The sequence below is a fragment of the Homo sapiens genome, chromosome 1 (genome assembly GCF_000001405.40).
Source record: "Homo sapiens chromosome 1, GRCh38.p14 Primary Assembly".
NCBI classification, from domain to species: Eukaryota; Metazoa; Chordata; class Mammalia; order Primates; family Hominidae; genus Homo; species Homo sapiens.
In genome coordinates, this window is record NC_000001.11 from 148,035,185 (window position 1) to 148,054,430 (window position 19,246).

At 45.0% G+C, this 19,246-nt stretch overlaps 2 non-coding genes and 1 pseudogene across 3 annotated transcripts in view, besides 7 other annotated features; 1 reads left to right on the forward strand and 2 right to left on the reverse strand.

Moving 5' to 3' along the window:
• Positions 3,073 to 3,608: an enhancer, noted in NCBI's record as "NANOG-H3K27ac-H3K4me1 hESC enhancer chr1:147510508-147511043 (GRCh37/hg19 assembly coordinates)". NCBI's record gives its function as "activates a minimal SCP1, AML or CMV promoter by ChIP-STARR-seq in naive H9 embryonic stem cells {active_cell/tissue: H9 hESC(naive)}" and the evidence as "EXISTENCE:reporter gene assay evidence [ECO:0000049][PMID:30033119]".
• Positions 3,346 to 3,455: an enhancer, noted in NCBI's record as "active region_1636". NCBI's record gives its function as "activates an Ori minimal core promoter by ATAC-STARR-seq in GM12878 lymphoblastoid cells {active_cell/tissue: GM12878}" and the evidence as "EXISTENCE:reporter gene assay evidence [ECO:0000049][PMID:35858748]".
• Positions 3,546 to 3,785: a silencer, noted in NCBI's record as "silent region_1283". NCBI's record gives its function as "represses an Ori minimal core promoter by ATAC-STARR-seq in GM12878 lymphoblastoid cells {active_cell/tissue: GM12878}" and the evidence as "EXISTENCE:reporter gene assay evidence [ECO:0000049][PMID:35858748]".
• Positions 3,546 to 4,145: a biological region, named in NCBI's record as "NANOG-H3K27ac-H3K4me1 hESC enhancer GRCh37_chr1:147511044-147511580".
• RNVU1-7 (RNA, variant U1 small nuclear 7) lies at positions 3,569 to 3,732 on the reverse strand. The gene has a single exon (NR_004426.2). It is a non-coding gene; the product is annotated as an RNA, variant U1 small nuclear 7 (small nuclear RNA).
• Positions 3,609 to 4,145: an enhancer, noted in NCBI's record as "NANOG-H3K27ac-H3K4me1 hESC enhancer chr1:147511044-147511580 (GRCh37/hg19 assembly coordinates)". NCBI's record gives its function as "activates a minimal SCP1, AML or CMV promoter by ChIP-STARR-seq in primed H9 embryonic stem cells {active_cell/tissue: H9 hESC(primed)}" and the evidence as "EXISTENCE:reporter gene assay evidence [ECO:0000049][PMID:30033119]".
• Positions 4,172 to 4,713: an enhancer, noted in NCBI's record as "NANOG-H3K27ac-H3K4me1 hESC enhancer chr1:145969873-145970414 (GRCh37/hg19 assembly coordinates)". NCBI's record gives its function as "activates a minimal SCP1, AML or CMV promoter by ChIP-STARR-seq in naive H9 embryonic stem cells {active_cell/tissue: H9 hESC(naive)}" and the evidence as "EXISTENCE:reporter gene assay evidence [ECO:0000049][PMID:30033119]".
• On the reverse strand, positions 13,332 to 13,405 carry TRN-GTT9-2 (tRNA-Asn (anticodon GTT) 9-2). The gene has a single exon. It is a non-coding gene; the product is annotated as a tRNA-Asn (tRNA).
• Positions 13,442 to 13,943: an enhancer, noted in NCBI's record as "OCT4 hESC enhancer chr1:147520877-147521378 (GRCh37/hg19 assembly coordinates)". NCBI's record gives its function as "activates a minimal SCP1, AML or CMV promoter by ChIP-STARR-seq in primed H9 embryonic stem cells {active_cell/tissue: H9 hESC(primed)}" and the evidence as "EXISTENCE:reporter gene assay evidence [ECO:0000049][PMID:30033119]".
• PDE4DIPP1 (PDE4DIP pseudogene 1) overlaps positions 14,118 to 19,246 on the forward strand; it is a 45,476-nt pseudogene continuing 40,347 nt past the window's right edge. The window contains exon 1 of the transcript NR_146087.1: positions 14,118 to 14,280. The product of NR_146087.1 is annotated as a PDE4DIP pseudogene 1 (transcript). The remainder of the gene's footprint in view (positions 14,281 to 19,246) is intronic.

Genomic DNA, 19,246 nt, shown 5'->3' on the forward strand with positions numbered 1-19,246 from the left:
CTGGGTGAGGAAAAGTCATATTTCCTCCCCGACATGTACAAATGTCTTCCACTGTAAAGCTATATGATTTTTTTTTTTTTGACAGGGTCTCACTCTGTTGTCCAGGCTGGAGTGCAATGGCACGATATCAGCTCACTGCAACCTCCGCCTCCCGGGTTCAAGCCATTTTCCTGCCTCAGCCTCCCAAGTAGCTGGGATTACAGGTGCCTGCCACCACGTCCGGCTACTTTTTGTATTTTTAGTAGAGATGGGGTTTCACCTTGTTGGCCGGGCTGGTCTCGAACTCCTGACCTCAGGTGATCCGCCCGCCTCGGCCTCCCAAAGTGCTGGGATTACAGGCGTGAGCCACTGCACCTGGGCAAAACTATAAGAATTTTACTGGGGCAGATTTGAAGCAAGAAATTGAATCATTATTCCCCTTTGGATGAGCTGAACACATGAGCTAATAAACTCCCAGTTCCTCCCAGATAGAAATACTTCTCTAGTTCATTCCCCGAAGCTCCTTGAGGGTCAAACCTGCTGGAGATTGAGGGGCCTTCCTGGGATCTCCCAGCCCAGGAGGTTACTGCTGGTGAGAAGATTGCTGCAGTCTCCCTGGGAGGGTGCACGGCCACTGGAAAGTATCACTGCTGTAACTTCAATACAACTGGTTTTCGTCACATCTGCTCTTTGTGCAGTGTTGCAGGCAAAATACAAGAGCTAACATGCACATGAGTAACACATGCACATCATCAGCTGTGTCTGCAACACAAAGTGCCACATGTCAGGCACAGTTGATTATGTGCATGTGTTTACTCATTTAGTCCTTACCTCAGGCCGAGGTCACACTATCACCTTCATCTTCCATGTGAGATGCACAAAGACGTTAAGTGACCTGTCCAGGGTCACTCAGCCAGCAAAGGAGGATTTGAAAGCAGGAATTTGAAGTGAAGGCAGCCTGTCTCCAGAAGACATTCTCAGAACCACTGCATTTATACTGCTCCTAACAAAACCACCGTTGCAAAAATTATGACAGTGAGAAAAACCTGACATAGGAAAACTATGACTGTGAAAGAAATCTGACCTAACTGACTGCATCTTACTTCTAACCTCTGAGCTGCCTTTGTCCGTTCCTGGGCATAGGCCAGGCTAACTATGAGAGGAGTTTAGTTCCAAGTCTAAGTCTGAAACAAAGATGTCTTCCTGAGACAAACTCCTTCCTATCTTGGGGATCAGATCTCCTTAGCAAAGCTAACAAATTAGGTGCGAGATTGGAAATTATGGCTCAGGAGCCATGCAGCCAGAAGCCACATGATTCCTAAGCTCCCCAACTGTGCCTGTATATAAGATTATTGGTGTCAAACCTAAGATTGGTGTTCAAGGTATTTTTCAGACCCTGCCTTATGATGGACTAGCTGGCACACCCAGACCGGTAAACTGGCTCATCTGGTCCTGTGGCCCCCACTCAGGGACTGACTCAGTGCAGTAAACAAGCTCTGACACTGTGATTTCATCCCCAACCCAACCAATCAGCTTTGCACATTCCCTAGCCCCTTGCCTGCCAAACTATCCAAAAAAAAAAAGAAAAAGAAAAAAGAAAAAAAAAACCCTAGTCTTTGAATTTTGGGGGAGGCAGATTTGAGTAATAATAAACCCCTGTCCTGGTCCCTCAGCTGCCTCTGCATTTATTAAATTCTTTCTCTATTTTAGAAAGCCTGCTGTTCTCAGCTCCATTGGCTTACCTGGGCAATGGGCAAGATAAACCTACCAGGCAGTTACATTAATAAAAGAGAAACACAAATGGTAAGCATGCTTGAAAAGAAATATAAGTCTGTGTATTTCTTTGGAAGAAACACAAAAGGAGGAGGAATGATAAGACAGGCAATAAATACACTGTCCTAAATATTTTCATGATTCTCCTGCCTCCTTCGTATCCTTCTTATCCCAACAACTTCTCCCCAGAAACCTTCAACTTAAACATGGTCCTGCCAGAACTGGGTTTGTCCTTCCCTTTACATTTTCCTCTCACCTACCCTACACCCCTTCCATATCTAATCTGTTCTTTAACTTCCAGGTCATTGAGAATTTTCCATTTAAAAATATAAAAAATTCATAAAGCGGAAGATAACCAGTCATCCATATTCACACCTCCTGGAATTAACTACTATTAACATACCTACATATTTTTCTTCCAAATCATTGTTAAACTATACATGCTAAGCATAGACCATACTAACAGTAGAGAAGATGTAAACATATGTAAAATTTTTGAAAACCTTACGTTCAAAAATAACTTCTCATAACATTTGGGCAACCCTGGAGTTACAGTCTTGTGGTACATCTACAGGGAGAAGAATGTATATTTTAGCTAGACTGTCCCTATCCCTAAAAGAAAAAGGAAGAAAAAATAATAAAGAAGGATATATATACTTGAAAAAATAATAAAATAATAAAGACGCATATATGTATGCTTTTATAAAATTTAGCTGAGACTCTATTTTTATTTTACAAACATTCCATTTAATAGTGCATGAACTTAACTGCAGACAAAGAGACAGAAACAGAAACGAAGGAATTCCTCAACTCCCGATTACAGTTAGAGAGATATTTTTCTAAAGGAATCTTCTAAGGATAAACGTACACTAAATTAAGTAGAAGACATTAAGATTTGGAGTGGTTTTCTTATTCCCTTTTACAATCAGGTTGATTAAGGTGTGAGTTGACTTTGGTACAATGCATCCATTTCAAGTTTGATGACGTGTCTATTACTCTAAAAGGTCCTCTTGTGCCCTTTGCAGTCAGTTCCGCCCTCCCCCTGAGGCCAGCAGTCAATGATGTAGTTTCTGTCACTATACAGGTTAGTTTTAACTGTTGTAGAAATTCACCTTGATGGCGCCACACAGGGTGCACTCTTTTCATCACTCGGCATAATGTTTTTGAGATGATCCACGCTATTTCATGTTTCCGTAATGTGTCCTATTTTATTGCTGGGTAGTTCGGGTAGTTGGGGTAGATCGCAGCACATTCTGGCGACAGGTGAGACTGCGGTTCTGACCTGCAGGCCTCGGTGAACATGAGCAAGGGCACCTGGGCGCCGGGAGAGACCTCCCTTCCCCTACAGAAAGCAAGCGTGTTATGTTAACAACCGAACGGGGACCCTGCTTTCATCCCAAAGAACAGCACCCGACTGCGTAGTTTCTTCCCTGGCTCTAGGAGGTGAGAACACATTCCCCGCTAGCACAGACATCCTACAAACTCCTGCGGAGGCTGCGGTTAGAAGCAGAGGCTGTGTGAAGGGTGACTCTGGGGGCTATGAAAAAACACGAAGGTTTTCACAGAGCATGAGAACCCAAAAGACTGGAGACTATGAAGCGATCTGCAAAAAGCAGCCCCAAGTAGAAAGGGAAGAGAAGAGCCCTGCGGCCACTTAGTGTTAAAAGAGCTCACGGCGGCGGAGAGGATAACACGTTACTTTCTGTTTCCCATCATTGCGACTGTAAGGAGAACACTTAACATGCCACCCAAGCCACAAAACTGCAGTTTTAAGAATAACCCTTATAGGGGAGTCTATTTTTTCATTACAAAAATTCAGGGGAAAGCGCGGACGCAGTCCCCCACTACCACAAATTATGCAGTCGAGTTTCCCACATTTGGGGAAATCGCAGGGGTCAGCACATCCGGAGTGCAATGGATAAGCCTCGCCCTGGGAAAACCACCTTCGTGATCATGGTATCTCCCCTGCCAGGTAAGTATGACTTCACACACTTCTGCCCTGTCACAGCTCCATATACCTCACCCTTTACACACATGGTCACTTGCCCCGCGCACCCCCGAGCCTTCCTAGCCCTGACACACAGCTGGGACCCTCAGGTCCGACCAGCGGTCCTGAACCCGCTCCCACGGCACGGGAGCTCCTTCGTGGTGAAACAGCCAGTGGCGAAGCAGCAGCCCCTGCGCTGCCTCATCTACATAGAAGTCGCCCTATCCGTGATGTCACCGACAGCGCCTTCCTCGTCCCGGTCTGCTTTTCTGCCCCACCCTCCGCCACTCAGCCGACCAACATGGTGCCAGAGCCTGCGGGGGCAGTGATGTCTGCCTCTGCCTCCTTTCCCTCTCTTCCCCGCCCATGGTCTTCCCCAAAGAAGCGGGTGTTTCTGTTGTAGTTTTTTGTTTGTTTTTTGTTTTGCGCCGTCTCGCTCTGTCGCCCAGGCTGGAGTGCAGTCGCATGATCTCGGCTCCCTGCAACCTCCGCCTCTCGGGTTGAAGCGATTCTCCTGCCTCAGGCTTCCGCATAGCTGGGATTACAGGCACACGCCACCAAGCCCGGCTAATTTTTGTGTTTTTAGTAGAGACGGGGTTTCACCATGTTGGCCAGGCTGATCCCGAACTCCTGACCTCAGGTAATCCGCCGACCTCGGCCTCCCAAAGTGCTGAGATTACAGGCGTGAGCCATCACGACTGCCCAGAAGCCGGTTCTTAGCCTGTGTTGCCGAGGACCTCTTTGGCAGAAATCTGGAGCCTGTCCACCCTTCTTCAAATAATGGCTTGTAATGCGCAGACTAAAACATGGAGGATTACACAAGAAACTGGTTCACTTCACATCATTATCCTTGTGATGTAGCATTCTACTTGAAATTGGAAGCCGTTCGATATCAGAGAAACCATATCTATGAAACTAGAGAGGCTGCTCAGATGACTGCAAACCAGCCATCCTTACTTGTTTTACCACTAGTAGTGTTATAAGGACGGTGGTCCAATTTCAGGAATCTTGTAGGGTTCTTTCAAATACAGCAATGTACAAATATGCTGCCCCAGCAGAGCACACTGGACACTCGGGCATGATGCTGGAGTTTGTCATCTCTTCCACGGCCTTCTCCAGACCTTAGCACTTACCTCATGTTAACACTTTATGTTCTGCAAAGACAGAAACAAAGTGGTCCAAATTTAGAAAAAATATATATATATTTGGGGGAAACTTTATTTGAGGTGCTTAACAGATTACTTTTAATCTGTAGAATACAACACCAAACTCTGACAATACTCCACAGACTCCAAATCTATCAGGCAAGTTTTTCCTGTCCTTTGCTTTCATATAAACTGAATCATAAAGTGTATAGTGGGTTTTGGGGGAATATAACTGCCCAATGGGTTCATGTTGCCTGCTGCCTAGACAGAACCAATTTATCAAGACAGGGGAATTGCAATAAAGAAAGTTATTTACCCAGAGCCAGCTGTGTGAGAGACCAGTTTTATTATTACCCAAATCAGTCTTCCTGAGTATTCTGGGACCCGAATTTTTAAGGATAATTTGGTGGCTGGGGGCCAGTGAGTTGGGAGTTCTGATTGGTCAGGTCGGAGATGAACTCAAAGGGAGCTAAAGCATCCTCTTGAGCTGGGTCAGTTCGTGGGTGGGGGCCACAAGATCAGATGAGCTGGTTTATCCATCTGGGTGGTGCCAGCTGATGCATCAAGTGCAGGGCTACAAAATACCTCACGCACTGATCTTAGGTTTTACAATAGTGATGTGATCCCCAGGCACAATTCAGGGAGGTTTAGAATCTCATAAGTTGGAGGCTGCATGATCCTAAACCATCATTTCTAATCTTGTGGCTAATTTGTTAGTCCTGCAAAGGCAGTCTACTCCCCAGGCAGGAAGGGGATTTGTTTTGGGAAAGGGCTGTTATCATCTTTGTTTCACAGCTAAACCATAAACTAAGTTCCTCTCAAAGTTATTTTGGCCTGTGCCCAGGAATGAACAAGGACAGCTTGGATGCTGGAAGCAAGACGGAAGCAGTTAGGTCAGATCTCTTTCGCTGTGATAATTCTCCCAGTTATAATTTTTGCAAAGTCGGTCTCAGGAGCAGAGGCATAGGTTTGACTTCTTTCACTCAGTCTTACATCTATGAATTTTTCATGTTATTCATGTGGTTATTTGTTTCTGTGTGTATTCCTTTGTATGAATATAGGCCAATTTATTTATTTATTCTACTGTTGCTGAACATGTTGACCTAAAAGAAAGAGGCTGAAGCACAAAATAGAATCTAGAGTTTACTTGAGCCAACATGAAGACAGCTGCCTGGAAGACTCACACCAAAAGAACCTTGGATCTGAGCTCCCTTTGGCCTTTGTCACAAGCAGGTTTTTAAAGGTCAAAAGGGGGGATGCACAATGGGCTGACAGAAAGGTGCCTGTCAGGAATTCTCATTGGTTTTCAGAAATAGCATTGATGAGAGCTTGGCTATCCCTTGTTATAGGGTGTGGGATACAGTGTTTGGTGTGGCATTATTAGATTAATTTACAGCTACCTGGGGTGATAGCAAGCAGTTGCAACAGATGAATACATAGCTCAAAAGGAAGGAAGCAGAAAGTGGTTGCTGTCTTGATTTAATGTCTCTCTGATCATGTGAAGTGGCTCACATTCCTCAGATAAAAATTCTTTTAAAAATCTTTCTTCTTTAAAGCATAGATGATCAAAAGCTCAGCCAAGGTGTCCCTCTTTGCCAGGAACACTCATTCCCGGATAGTCTTTCCCACAGTGAGGGCAGGGGAGGAAAGGAGCTGCCTCACTGAGGAATTTTTAAGAGCGCCCCAAAGCCCAATTGAAAGTACGTCACAGAGTAGAAAAAAAAAAGAAGAAAAGAAAAGAAGAGAGAGAGACTTCAGTTAAATCTACAGCTGTCACTTGTTTAATCATCTCTCGTCTTCAGATACCATAAAATCAGTTTTCTCAGAAGTAAAACAGGAAATATATAACATTAATAATTTGAATAGCACAGATATAATTCACACAAGAATGAGAATCACAAAGAGAATCCGTATGCCAGAACAGTAAGGGAACCTATTCCATTAGGGAGCCAACGAAAAAACATCAGGGAAAACATCACATCCCAGTTCTTCTTTCATGATTTCTTGTAGCCAAATGACTTCTAATTTTTTCTAGATGAGGTTCTACGTCATGGGAGTATTTATTTTTGTATACGCAACAAGAGGTTGTAAACACCACACATCCACCTCCCTGCTCAGCTAAATCTATCATCTAAAGCGGGCTGCGGAGGCTGCTGTTGCTGGGGCTCTCCCCTTGGTGTTCTGGGCTGCGTTGTACTAAGTGGAGAAGGTGGTTGTGGGCAAGCGTTGTGCAGAGATCACAACCAGGTGGGCAGGGGGCTGCTCTCTCCACACTATCACTTGACAATGTACAATTCCTTTTATGAACTCTTGTAAGTGCTGCTGTATCTACCCATTGTTTTTGTTTTGTTTTGTTTTTTGAGACAGGCTCTCTCTCTGTCTCCCAGGCGGGAGTGCAGTGGCACAATCTCGGCTCTCTGCAACCTCTGCCTCCTGGGTTCAAGTGATTCTCCTGCCACAGCCTCCCAAGTTGCTGGGACTACAGGCACACGCCACTGTGTGCAGCTAATTTTTGTATTTTTAGTAGAGATGGGGATTCACCATGTTGGCCAGGCTGATCTCGAACTCCTGAACTCAGGTGACCCACCTGCCTCGGCCTCCCAAAGTGCTGGGATTACAGGCATGAGCCACCGTGCCCAGGTTCTAACCATTTTTAAATAAGAATAATATTGTCTTTGAAAATATATATCATCTAAAGTAATGCAATTATCTAGTACAATCTTAGCCAGTGAATAAATAGCTTTTTGTTGAGCTGTGAAAGAGGCTACAGTTTCATCAGCAATATTTCTTTCTTTCTTTCTTTCTTTTGTCTTTCTTCTTTTTTTTTTTTTTTAAGACACAGTCTTGCTGTGTTGCCCAGGCTAGAGTGCAGTGGTGCAGTCTCAGCTCACTGCAGCCTCAACCTCCCTCGCTCAAGCAATCCTCCCACCTCAGCCTCCCGAGTAGCTGGGACTACAGACATGCACCACTATGCCTGGCTAATTTTGTTTTTGTTTGTTTGATTGTTTTGTTTGTTTGTTGAAAGACAGGGTCTCGCTATCTTGCTCAGAATGGTCACAAATTCCTGAGCTCAAGCAATCCTCCCAGCTGAGCCTCTCAAAGTGCTGGAATTACAAGCATAGGCCCCCAAGCCTGGACTCTTTATTTTTCTTTCAGAGAGAAGGAGTGGCTCTGTCGCCCAGGCTGGAGTGCACTGTCGCCATCATAGGTCACTGCAGCCTGGAACTCCTGGGTTTAAGTGATCCTTCCACCTCAGCCTCTGAGTCACTGGGATTATAGGCCAGAGCCCCCATGCCCGGTTTTTATCAGCAATGTTACCTAAGGTTAAAGAAGGATTTCGAACCACGGGAAGCAACATCCCATCAAAGCAAAAGCGTGCTCCCCCAAAAATGTATGGAGCTACTTTCTTAATGGTCAGGCAGGTAATTAGCAAGTTTTCTCCCAATAGGATCTCCATCTATTAATAAAATAGAGTGGTGGGCATGCCTAGTGAAAAGTTTGAGGACACTCATCCAATTCTTTTTTTTTTTTTTGAGATGGAGTCTCGCTCTGTCTCCTAGGCTGAAGTGCAGTGGCATGATCTTGGCTCACTGCAACCTCTGCCTCGCAGGTTCAAGTGATTCTCCTACCTCAGCCTCCTGAGTAGCTGGGAATACATGTGAACACCACCATACCCAGCTAATTTTTGTATTTTTAGTAGAGACGGGGTTTCACAGTGTTGGCCAGGCTGGTCTTGCACCCCTGACCTCAGGTGGTCCACCCGCCTCGGCCTCCCCACTCATCCAATGTTGGGTTTCTTCAGAGCTATATATATATATAGGCATGACCAAATATCCTAAAAGACATTGCACTTCATCATTCCATGTCTTTAGACATTTAAGGGCCATGGATGGTGATCTCCTCCACAGACCAAATAAATGCTGGTGCACAACAGGTAAGTGTAGTATAATTTGGGTACATCAGCTTTCGGCATTTAAACCATGCATGGGTCAGACATGTTAGAGCAAGAGGGCAGGTTGGATCCTGATAGCAGGAGGGAGTGTTTTTCTCTTAACTTTCCAATAGCATCATGGTGTTTACCACTGTCATTTCAGAGTGAGGCAACAATTTTTTGTTCGTTTTCTTTCTGATCTTTGGTTTTTTTTGCAACCGGGGTCTCACTGTTGCCCAGGCTGGAATGCTGTGGCAACATGACAGCCCAGTACAGTCTTGACCTCTTGACCTTCAGGGCTCAATGAATCATCCTACCTCAGCTTCCCAAGTGCTGGAGTTAGGCACACACCACCACGCCCAGCTTATTTATTTACTTTCTGAGACAGGGTCTCACTCTTTTGCCCAGTCTGGAGTGCAGTGGTGTCATCTGGATTCACTGCAGGCTCGAACTCCTGGGCTCAAGTCATCCTCTCAACTCATACTCCTGAGTAGCTGGGACTACAGTTGGGTGCCACCATGCACCCAACTGTATATTTTTGTATATTTTGTAGAGATTGTTTCACCATTTTGCCCAGGAAGATAGTCTCAAACTCCAGGGCTCAAGTGATCCTCCTGCCTCGATCTCCCAAAGTGCTGGGATTACAGGCAGTTATTTTGACAGTACAATTATGATGGGTTAAACTGAGACGTACGGCAGGAAGGTTAGGATGAGTCAGACAGATTCGATAAACAGGTTTTGCTTGATGTAACCCCGAGTTGCATCGTGAGTTCAATCAGGAGGAATACAGGTGAAATTTGGCACAGGATGTACCAATGGGTCATTATGGTCAAAAGTGGTTGGTGGTTTAAGGTGGCAAACCCAGCACCTTGTCACATTTCCCACAGTGGCAATGGTTTGTGAGATTCTGATCAGAGAATTATCCCTCCCTGATGTAATCAAATTAATTAAGGACAGTAAAACAGAAATCTGATCATAGGCATTTTGCTATGTATGTATGTATATGTATATACATGTACGTGCAATAGGACTAGTGTGTCATATCTTTAGAGAATATACATATAGGCTGATTTTACCAAAACCAATAGGATACGACCCCTACAACTTAAAGGAGCCCTGATGGTGTATGTATTCCAGTCAAGAGAAAAAGAGACTAACTCTTCCAGGTGCAGTGAGCACTGGAATTGTGAACAGCTGGTTATACAGGCCAGTATCTTGGGTGGAAGTGGGCTACAACAGATGTCAGCTACTTGCCATCTTCGTCAGGAAGATGGCAGGTCACCTTTAAGTGAAAACCTCCACTGACAGATGTCCACTCTGGTAGGGTTGCCTTTTAGATATGAGAAACATGAATCTGTGTGTCAATGCCCTTATATTTACTGCCACAGAGATTAGGCAATAATACCTGATGTGAGCCAGGTGCAGTGGCCCACACCTCTGGTCCCAGCTATTTGGGAGACTGAGGCAGGAAGATGGCTTGACCCCAGGAGATAAAGGCTACATTGAGTCATAATTACGCCACTGCATTCCGGCCTGGGCAACAGAGTGAGACCCCATCTCAAAAAAATAAATTAATATTAATAATACCTACGTGGTGCCCTCCAGTGGACTTGGAGGGAGTATTTTATTTGATGTTGTTTCCAGTAAGCGACATCTCCAGTTTATAGGCATAGTTTTTGATATTTTCATCTCCCATCAGCTCATTATGAAAGGCATCCTTTATTAATTTGGAGCTCTTCATAAGAAGTTTTGTGAGACCTTAGAAATAATGGAGAATGTTACCTTTAAGAAGTGCAGTGCAGGTTCATAAGCCCCTTCATCTAACCACTGCATGGGTCTTCCTGTTCTAATTTCAAAGGGAGGGAGTGAAAGTTTTCCAGAAACAGTGGGGGATCTTTGGCCAGGGAAGGTTAAAAACTTCTGTTAGCTTTGCCAATTGAGTTTTTATCTTATCATTATTAAGTTGCACTAGTCCAGAGGATTAGGGGTGATAGGCACAATGGAAATGTTGGGACATAGGTCAAACGTTACAAATGGATCCAACTATCTGACTGATAAGGTGTGTTCCTCAGTTGCTATGGAGATCAGATGGCACTCCCCATGAGGAATGATTTTCTCTAATCACAGTCTACCAGCTGCTTGGGCTGTGGCTCATTGGCACAGAAATGTTTCACTCCAGCGACAGCGCGTATAAATTAGCACCAGAAAGTATCTGTGACCCTGAGATGGAGACAGCTGGATAAAGTCTAACTGCCATGTCTCAAAAGGTCCTAAAGATACAATGTCCCTGTGACACATGAAGGGGTTTTCCAGGATTATGTTTGGGACAGAACAGAAAGTACAGCAAGAATAAACCTTTTGCACAATGGTAGGCGATGATTTTCAATACACTGCTTTCCCCATGCTATCATTTTGTCTGAATTCCAACGAGTCAGCTTATGAACTACTTTAAAATGGGTAATTGAAGCCTAAGGGGTGGATCAGGGTATCACTGGGCCCATACCATATGTGTGTTTCTGGAAAAAACTTGTTCCCTTTATCTTTCCAGAGAAAATAAAATATTGACTCAAAATAAATTAATTAAATTTTAAAAAGAAACAGGGCCAACCATGGTGGCTCATGCCTGTAATCTCAGCACAGCTCTTTGGGAGGCCGAAGCAGGAGGATCACTTGAGCTCAGCAGTTGGAGACCAGCCTGGGCAATTTAGTGAGACCACATCTCTACAGAATTATTATTTTTCTTAATAGCCAAGTATGATGGTGCATACCTGTAGTCCCAGCTACTTGGAAGGCTAAGGTGGGAGGATCACTGGAGCCCAGGAGGTTCAGGCTACAGTGAACTATGATTGTGCCACTGCACTGCAGCCTGGGCAACAGAGAAAGACCTTGTCTCAAAAAATAAAATAAAATAAAATGTCTTAGAAGTTTAGCTGTCCATCCTATGCAGCAGAATATCTATGTGTCATGTCCACCATGTCCTTCTGTTGTATCATCCCCTTAGTTAAGCCAGGAAGGCACCTGTCCCCTTATTAGAATATCATGGGCTCATGGCTAGCACAGTGGCTCACGCCTGAAATCCCAGCACTGTGGGAGGCTGAGGTACATAGATCTCTTGAGCCCAGGAGTTGGAGACCAACCTGGGCAACATAGCAAGGCCCTATCTCTACAAAAAAAAAAAAAAAAAAAATAGCTGAATGCGGTGGTGCATGTCTGCAGATCCAGCTACTCTGGAGGCTGAGGTGGGAGGATAACTAGAGCCCAGGGGGTGGAGGCTGCAGTGAGCTGAGATCACGCCACTGCCCTCCATCCTGGGTGACAGAGTGAGACCTAGTCTAAAAAAAGCGGGGGAAGGGGGAGAAAGTTTGTTGTGCCAGCAAGTAAATGAAGAAAGGGACAGTATTAGAGTTGAGAAATAAATTGGAATATGATTTGATACCTCTCCCGCAGAAGATAAATTTGCTAAAAGTGCTGAAGTTAGAGGCATTACATAAGACCCGTTGCAGTTGCTCATGCCTGTAAATCCTGGCACTTTGCAAGGCCGCGGAGCTGCTTGAGCCCAGGAGTTTGGAGACCAGCCTGTGCAACATGGTGAAACCCCTTCTCTACAAAACAAATAAAAATTAGCAGGGCATGGTGGCCCACTCCTGCAGTCTCAGCTACTTGGAAGGCTGAGAGATGGGAGGATCGCTTGAGCCTGAGAAGTTGAGGCTACAGTGAGACGCAATCAGGCCACTGCACTCCAGCCTTAGAGACAGAATGAGACCCTGTCACAAAAACTAAAAATAAAAATTAAAAAGCCTGTAATATAGCAGTGGCACATCCAGTTCTCTACGCTAGTATAGAACTATCAGTGGCCAAAGATATGTGTACAAGAGTGATGATTTCAGGATTCTCTGAAATCCTAAAACCATGAAGCCAACCTTATTTCAAACACATTTTGAAAACGGTTAAATAAATCATGCACAAACTGACTGATAAAAAAATGCTGTTTTCAAAAATGATGAAGAGGATTATTATGATGATGAATGATTCCACTTTCTATCCATAGTATTGATAGAGCAACCAGTAAATCCAGGCCCATCCTGGGGATAGGATATCTCTCTAGGCCTCCTATTAACAATGAAAAAATTAAGGTTGGCATATAACCCATCCAAGCCTATAAGGGGCAGCATGAGGATTTTGTCGGCACCAGAAGTGACTCGTTTGGTCTCTGTTTCTTGTACACAGGCACAAGACAGCATGACATTTCAGGAGATTCTCTGTCTGAATCGGATCTGTGAGGCGAGGGTGTGGGGAGTGTGGGGAATGGCCCTTGACAGGGATCTCTGTTAACTGTGCCTAGAATCCTGAGAAGATAAAACCTTCCCTGCAGTAAGCATCCCTGGCTGGCCTGGAACCTATAGGACTTAGGACTATGGGAAGAAAAAGGGAAGATTCTCTAGTGATCGATAATACATGAACGGGGGAGATTCTCTAGTGATCGATAATACACGAACGCTTTAAAAGCTAGAGCAAGCGTCCCCGGGTGGGCTCGAACCACTAACCTTTCAGTTAACAGCCGAACGCGCTAACCGATTGCGCCACAGAGACAAGAACTACTGCTTTTACTGTGCGCTATGGGAAGGGCGCCTTCAACAAATTTCCCCTGTGCCTTCCAGCCTCAGGGCTTGTCCGGCAGGATGACTGAGCAAGGCCTTGGAAAACCGGAGCGATTAGAGCGGTGAATCGCGCTGGTCACGTTGGACACCTGCGCGTTAGGAGATTCTGGAGCCAGAAGGACAGCCGAATGGCCTTCGCCCGCCCTGCCCCTCGCCTGCTTCAGAAGCCCCCGGAAACGCCCCGGTCTGCGACCCGGGTTCGAGCAGCCAGGGGGCTCAAGGGAAGCTGAACGCCTGGTGGGCTCCCGGGATGGCTCTTCCCGTTCTTTGCACAGCCTTCACCCAGTGAGGGAGCCTGTGCCCTCCCTGCTCAGTCGCATTCGGGGCGCTGCAGAGCTTCCGCTGCCTTCTTCGGATCCTGCGTTCGGCACCGGGGCTCCACCAGGGCAGGGATCGTGGTGAGGGTCGCTCGTGGATCCCCTCGCGGGGAGCAGGGTCTGGCACTCACCAGGGCGCACGACTAGGACTTGTTGAATGAATCCGTCGTCGCCTTTATCTTTTAGTCCTTTGAAGAGTCTTGAGAATGGAAATCATGAGAGATTTTTCCATGGGGGAAGTTCTTTTTACGAAACGTTTATTCAGATTGATTTCTCGGCACCCCGCGGGGCGGGCAACGGGCAGGGCTTCCAGTGCACCTTCTGCGCAGTGGAGCCGCGGGGGCTCAGCTGGACAGTGGTCGGGTCGTGGGGCTGGAGGGCGGGAGCGGGGGAAGGGAAAAGCAAAAGCGGGGAAAGAAGCCGGAGAGCGGTAGACCAGACATCTAGACCTGAAAGGCTCGTGCGGAGGCAGAGGCGGGATCTTCCGGAGGTGAGAATTGTTTTTTTATTGTAGCAGAATGGGGAGGAATTGAGGGGAAAACGGAGATAGAACCTGAAAGAGCCCCAAACGTGAGAATCTGTAGCTCCCCAAGAATAAGATCTTCCAGAAAAATTAGACCGAAAACTAGGCGTCTGGGAACCCTGACATCCTTGGAGGAGTAGCATCATCATGACCCTCTGTGTTCCTTTTGGCATAAGGACTTGCTTCCATTGTTTGTTTGTTAAATTGTTGTGTTTGTTTAATAAATAAAACCTTTTCATGTATCTTTGAAATTACGTTGGTTTGGCCGAGCGCGGTGGCTCACGCCTGTAATCCCAGCACTCTGGGAAGCCGAGGCGGGCGGATCACGAGGTCAGGAGATCGAGACTATCCTGGCTAACACAGTGAAACCCCGTCTCTACTGAAAAATACAAAAAATTAGCCGGGCGTAGTGGCGGGCGCCCGTAGTCCGAGCTACTCGGGAGGCTGAGGCAGGAGAATGGCGTGAACCTGGGAGGCAGAGCTTGCAGTGAGCCGAGATCGCGCCACTGCACTCCAGCCTGGGCGACAAAGGGAGACTCTGTCTCAAAAAAAAAAAAAAAAAAGAAAGAAAGAAAGAAAGAAAGAAAGAAAGAAAGAAAGAAAGAAAGAAAGAAAGAAATTACGTTGGTTCTATTACTTTATGATTACAAACAATGCTGCAGTCATCATTCTTGTACACTTCTCATTGGCCACTGGTGTATTTCTATAGGATAGAGGCCTGGAGAGCAGCTGCTCCAGCATAGTGATTACATGGTTTTTTATATCATTCTATTTTCTTTCCTTTTTTGGCTTATTAGCTATAATTCTTTCTTTTGTTATGTCAGTGATAGCTTTAAGGTTTCTAGAATATATCTTTATCAGTCTGCCCTCAAGTGACATTATACCTTCCCTTCTGGCCTTTATGCTAGTGTTGCCATGTCATTTGATTTTAGACATGTTATAAACCCCAACATCTAAGTACATACATAGCGATTTCCAGTCGTCTCCATTTATTTGTGTAGGTTCAGATTTCTGTCTGGTATCCTTATCCTTAGGCCTGGAGGACTCCTTCAACATTTCTTGTAGTGTGGGTCGGTGAATGCTTTCATTTATTTGTATGTTTTTATTTTTATTTGTATTTTTTTAAGATGGAGTCTCACTCTGTCACCCAGGCTGGAGTACAGTGGCATGATCTGGGCTCACTGCAACCTCCACCTCCTGGGTAAAAGTGATTCTCATGCCTCAGCCTCCTGAGTAGCTGGGATTACAGGCATGTGCCACCTCACCTGGCTAATTTTTGTATTTTTAGTAGAGACGAAGTTTTGCCATGTTGGCCAGGCTGGTCTCCAACTCCCCGACCTCAAGTGATCCGCCCGCCTCGGCTTCCCAAAGTGCTGGGATACATGTGTGAGCCACTGCGCATGTGTATGTCTTTAAATGTCCTTATTTCAGTCACATTTTTTAGAGATTTTTCATTGTGGCATAGAATTCCAAAATAACTTTTTTTCTCTCTCTCACTACTTTATGTTGCCACTTTGATGCCTTGTCATTGATATATCATCTTTTCTGTTTTTGTAAAACTGGCATAAAGGAGGCTTCCTGTACTTGTTATATAATTTTTGGAATGTGTACTTAAATTTAAAAAAAATTGTTATACTTTAAGTTCTGAGATACATGCGCAGAACGTCCAGGCTTGTTACATAGGTATACATGTGCCATGGTGGTTTGCTGCACCCATCAACCCACCATCTACATTAGGTATTCCTCCTAATGCTATCCCTCCCTTTGCCCCCCACCCCCCTATAGGCCCCAGTGTGTGATGTTCCCCTCCATGTGTCCATGTGTTCTCATTTTTCAACTTCCACTTATGAGTGAGAACATGCGGTGTTTGGTTTTCTGTTCCTGTGTTAGTTTGCTGAGAATGATGGTTTCCAGCTTCATCTATGTCCCTGTGAAGGACATGAACTCCTTCTTTTTTATGGCTGCAGAGTATTCCATGCTGTATATGTGCCACATTTTCTTTATCCAGTCTATCATTGATGGGCATTTGGGTTGGTTCCACGTCTTTGCTACTGTGAATAGTGCTGCAATAAACATACGTGTGCATGTGTCTCTATAGTACAATGATTTATAATCTTTTGGGTATATACCCAGTGATGGGATTGCTGGGTCAAATGGTATTTCTGATTCTAGATCCTTGAGAAATCGCCACAGTGTCTTGCACAATGGTTGAACTAAATTAAAAATATGAAAATGGGCTGGATGAGGTGGCTCACGCCTGTAATCTGAGCACTTTGAGAGGGGGAGGCGGGATGATCGATTGAGGCCCAGAGTTGGAGACCAGCCTGGATTAGATAGTAAGACTCTCTCTCTCTCTCTCTCTCTCTGTGTATATATATATATGTGTGTGTATATATATATATTAAAAATATATATATACACATTCTCTCTGTGTATATATATTATATATATATAATATATACACACACTCTCTCTCTATAGATATATGTATACACACAGAGAGAAATACGTCCATCGTGAGAGTCCTAGATTCATCTTAAGTTTCACCGAAAGTGCACTTAGAGTAAAATGTGCCCACTCTGAGGGTCAAACCTACCTACTGACGTGTAAGTTGTGTTTGTGAGACATTCTCAACAGCATTTGCTTTCCCTAGCATAGTGGTTTTCATGTTTTCCTCACACCTGAATGTCCTCAGTGCAAAACCTGTCAGAATTCATTTCCTTTGCTGTTCTTCTTTGAGAAACCTCCAGGGTTTTATTTATTTATTACATACCTTTTAAAAGCATAGAGACAAAGACTGGCAAGTGGTATATATTACTACATTAGTCTTAGTTCTCCAGAAAAAGAAAACGAGCAGGATACACACAGACACACACACACACACACAGAGATTTACATTGGCTAATGTGATTATGGAAGCAGAGAAGTCCAAGGTCTACACTGAGTAAGCTCTAGACCCAGGAGAGTGGAATATAGTTCTCTACCAAGTCCAAGGCCCAAGGCAGAAGACTGATGTCCCAGCTCAAAGACAGTGGAGCAGAGACTTCTTTCTTAGCCTTTCATTCTATTCAAGCCTTCTGTGGGTTGGATGAGGCCCACTCACACTGGGGAGGGCAATCTGCTTTACTCAGTTTACCGATTCAAATGTCAATCTCATCCAGAAACACTCTCAGAGACACAGTGAGAAATAATGTTTAACCAAATATCTGGGCACCCCATGGCCCGTTCAAACTGACAGAAAAATTCATCTTCACAAATACTCTCAATAAAAGTGACTAACAAATGTAGCATCATGTCCTGCCTGTTTATCCCATGACAATTAATGTATTCCAGCCCAACATTGTCTTCCTTTCTCTTACAGAAGCAACATGTAACAGTTTCATTGAAAGTAAGGTTGCCCGGGCACAGTGGCTCACCCCTGTAATCCTAGCACTTTCGGAGGCCGAGGCGGGCAGATCACCTGAGCTCAGGAGTTTGAGACCAGCCTGGCTAACATGGTGAAACCCCATTTCTACTAAAAATACAAAAAATTAGTCGGGCATGGTTGCGCATGCCTGTAATCCCAGCTACTCGGGAGGCTGAGGCAGGAGAATCATGTGAACCCGGGAGGTGGAGATTGCAGTGAGCCAAGATCCCGCCATTGCACTCCAGCCTGGGCAACAAGAGTGAAACTCCATTTCAAAAAAATTAAAAATAAAAATAAATAAATAGAGTGAGGTTAATTTTGACCTTATGGAGTCTCTCCCCAACCCCTACATACCTTTGCACTTGTGGATTGTCATTTTGTCATGGCTTTGATATAAAAATATATCAATAAGCTATATGCAGTGCTAATGTAAGTTTGAATTTCATCCTGACTCCATAAGTCACTTTCCATTTTGATAAAGCCTAGAAATATTCATGTCCATCTCCTTGAATATGGGTAATGGATACCTATTGTGGGGCCCACTCTCAATCTCATGGGGTTTTTTAATTTTTTTTAATTTTCATTCAGGTCTCAATAGATATGCCTGGGCTGACTGAAAGCCACTGAAAATGGCCCGTGGCCTTGTACATCTGACAGAGTGGACTAAAATCTAAGCCATGGAATGGGGGGATGGAAAGTGAGAAACACCAAACTCAGCACACAATGACTCAGTTTAAATCTCTGGGCTAAGAGATCTATCATGGCTTCTGGGACATAAGGCTTTGTCTGGAGGGTGACTGTAGGCTCCCATGACAATGCCTACCCCAGAAAGCTCAAGGCTGCCAGAGGAACTTACTTTAGTTCCAGCCAATACCTGCTGATGATGGTAGGTTCAGGATCTCCCTTTTGTATAGCACTTACTAAGAAGGGAATCCTTCCTCCATCCCTTTGAGATGTGTTTGTATCTCCTAGGGACTCCAGTGTGTCTTTCCCTAGGATCTGAAAGCCATTCCTTTGAGCTGTAGTTCTCAGGAAGGACTGAGCCTCTGTCTTCCAGTCTCTGTGGGAGGTTAGAATCCTATCTTCTAATATTGTCAGCTAGCAGACACAGCTGGCCTGATGAGGCAGACATTCACAATGTTTCACTTGTGCCCTGCCCCCTGCCCTCTCCCCTACCTCCCTCTCCCCCTATAATGCCATCACCTCTGTACAAATGGGAACACAGCTCAGCCCCGTTCTCTACTATCAGTAGTTACTGAATAAAATCTGTTTTCTCTGCTTTAACTAATGTCTGGCTTTATCTTCGACAAAATAAGTGGAGCGATGATTTTTAGGGACAAGGCAGCTGCAAAGAGAGGCACAGACATGGGAGGAGAGGGAGGGATCACCTGACCCTTTTCATTTCGTAGGTATCTATTCCTGCCTGGTGTTTATAAGCCTGACACTTGGCTGGGCTTCCCTGGGGTATATCTCCATGGCTCTGTGGCAAGACTTGAATAGGCTGGTGATGACACTTGATGTCCCCAT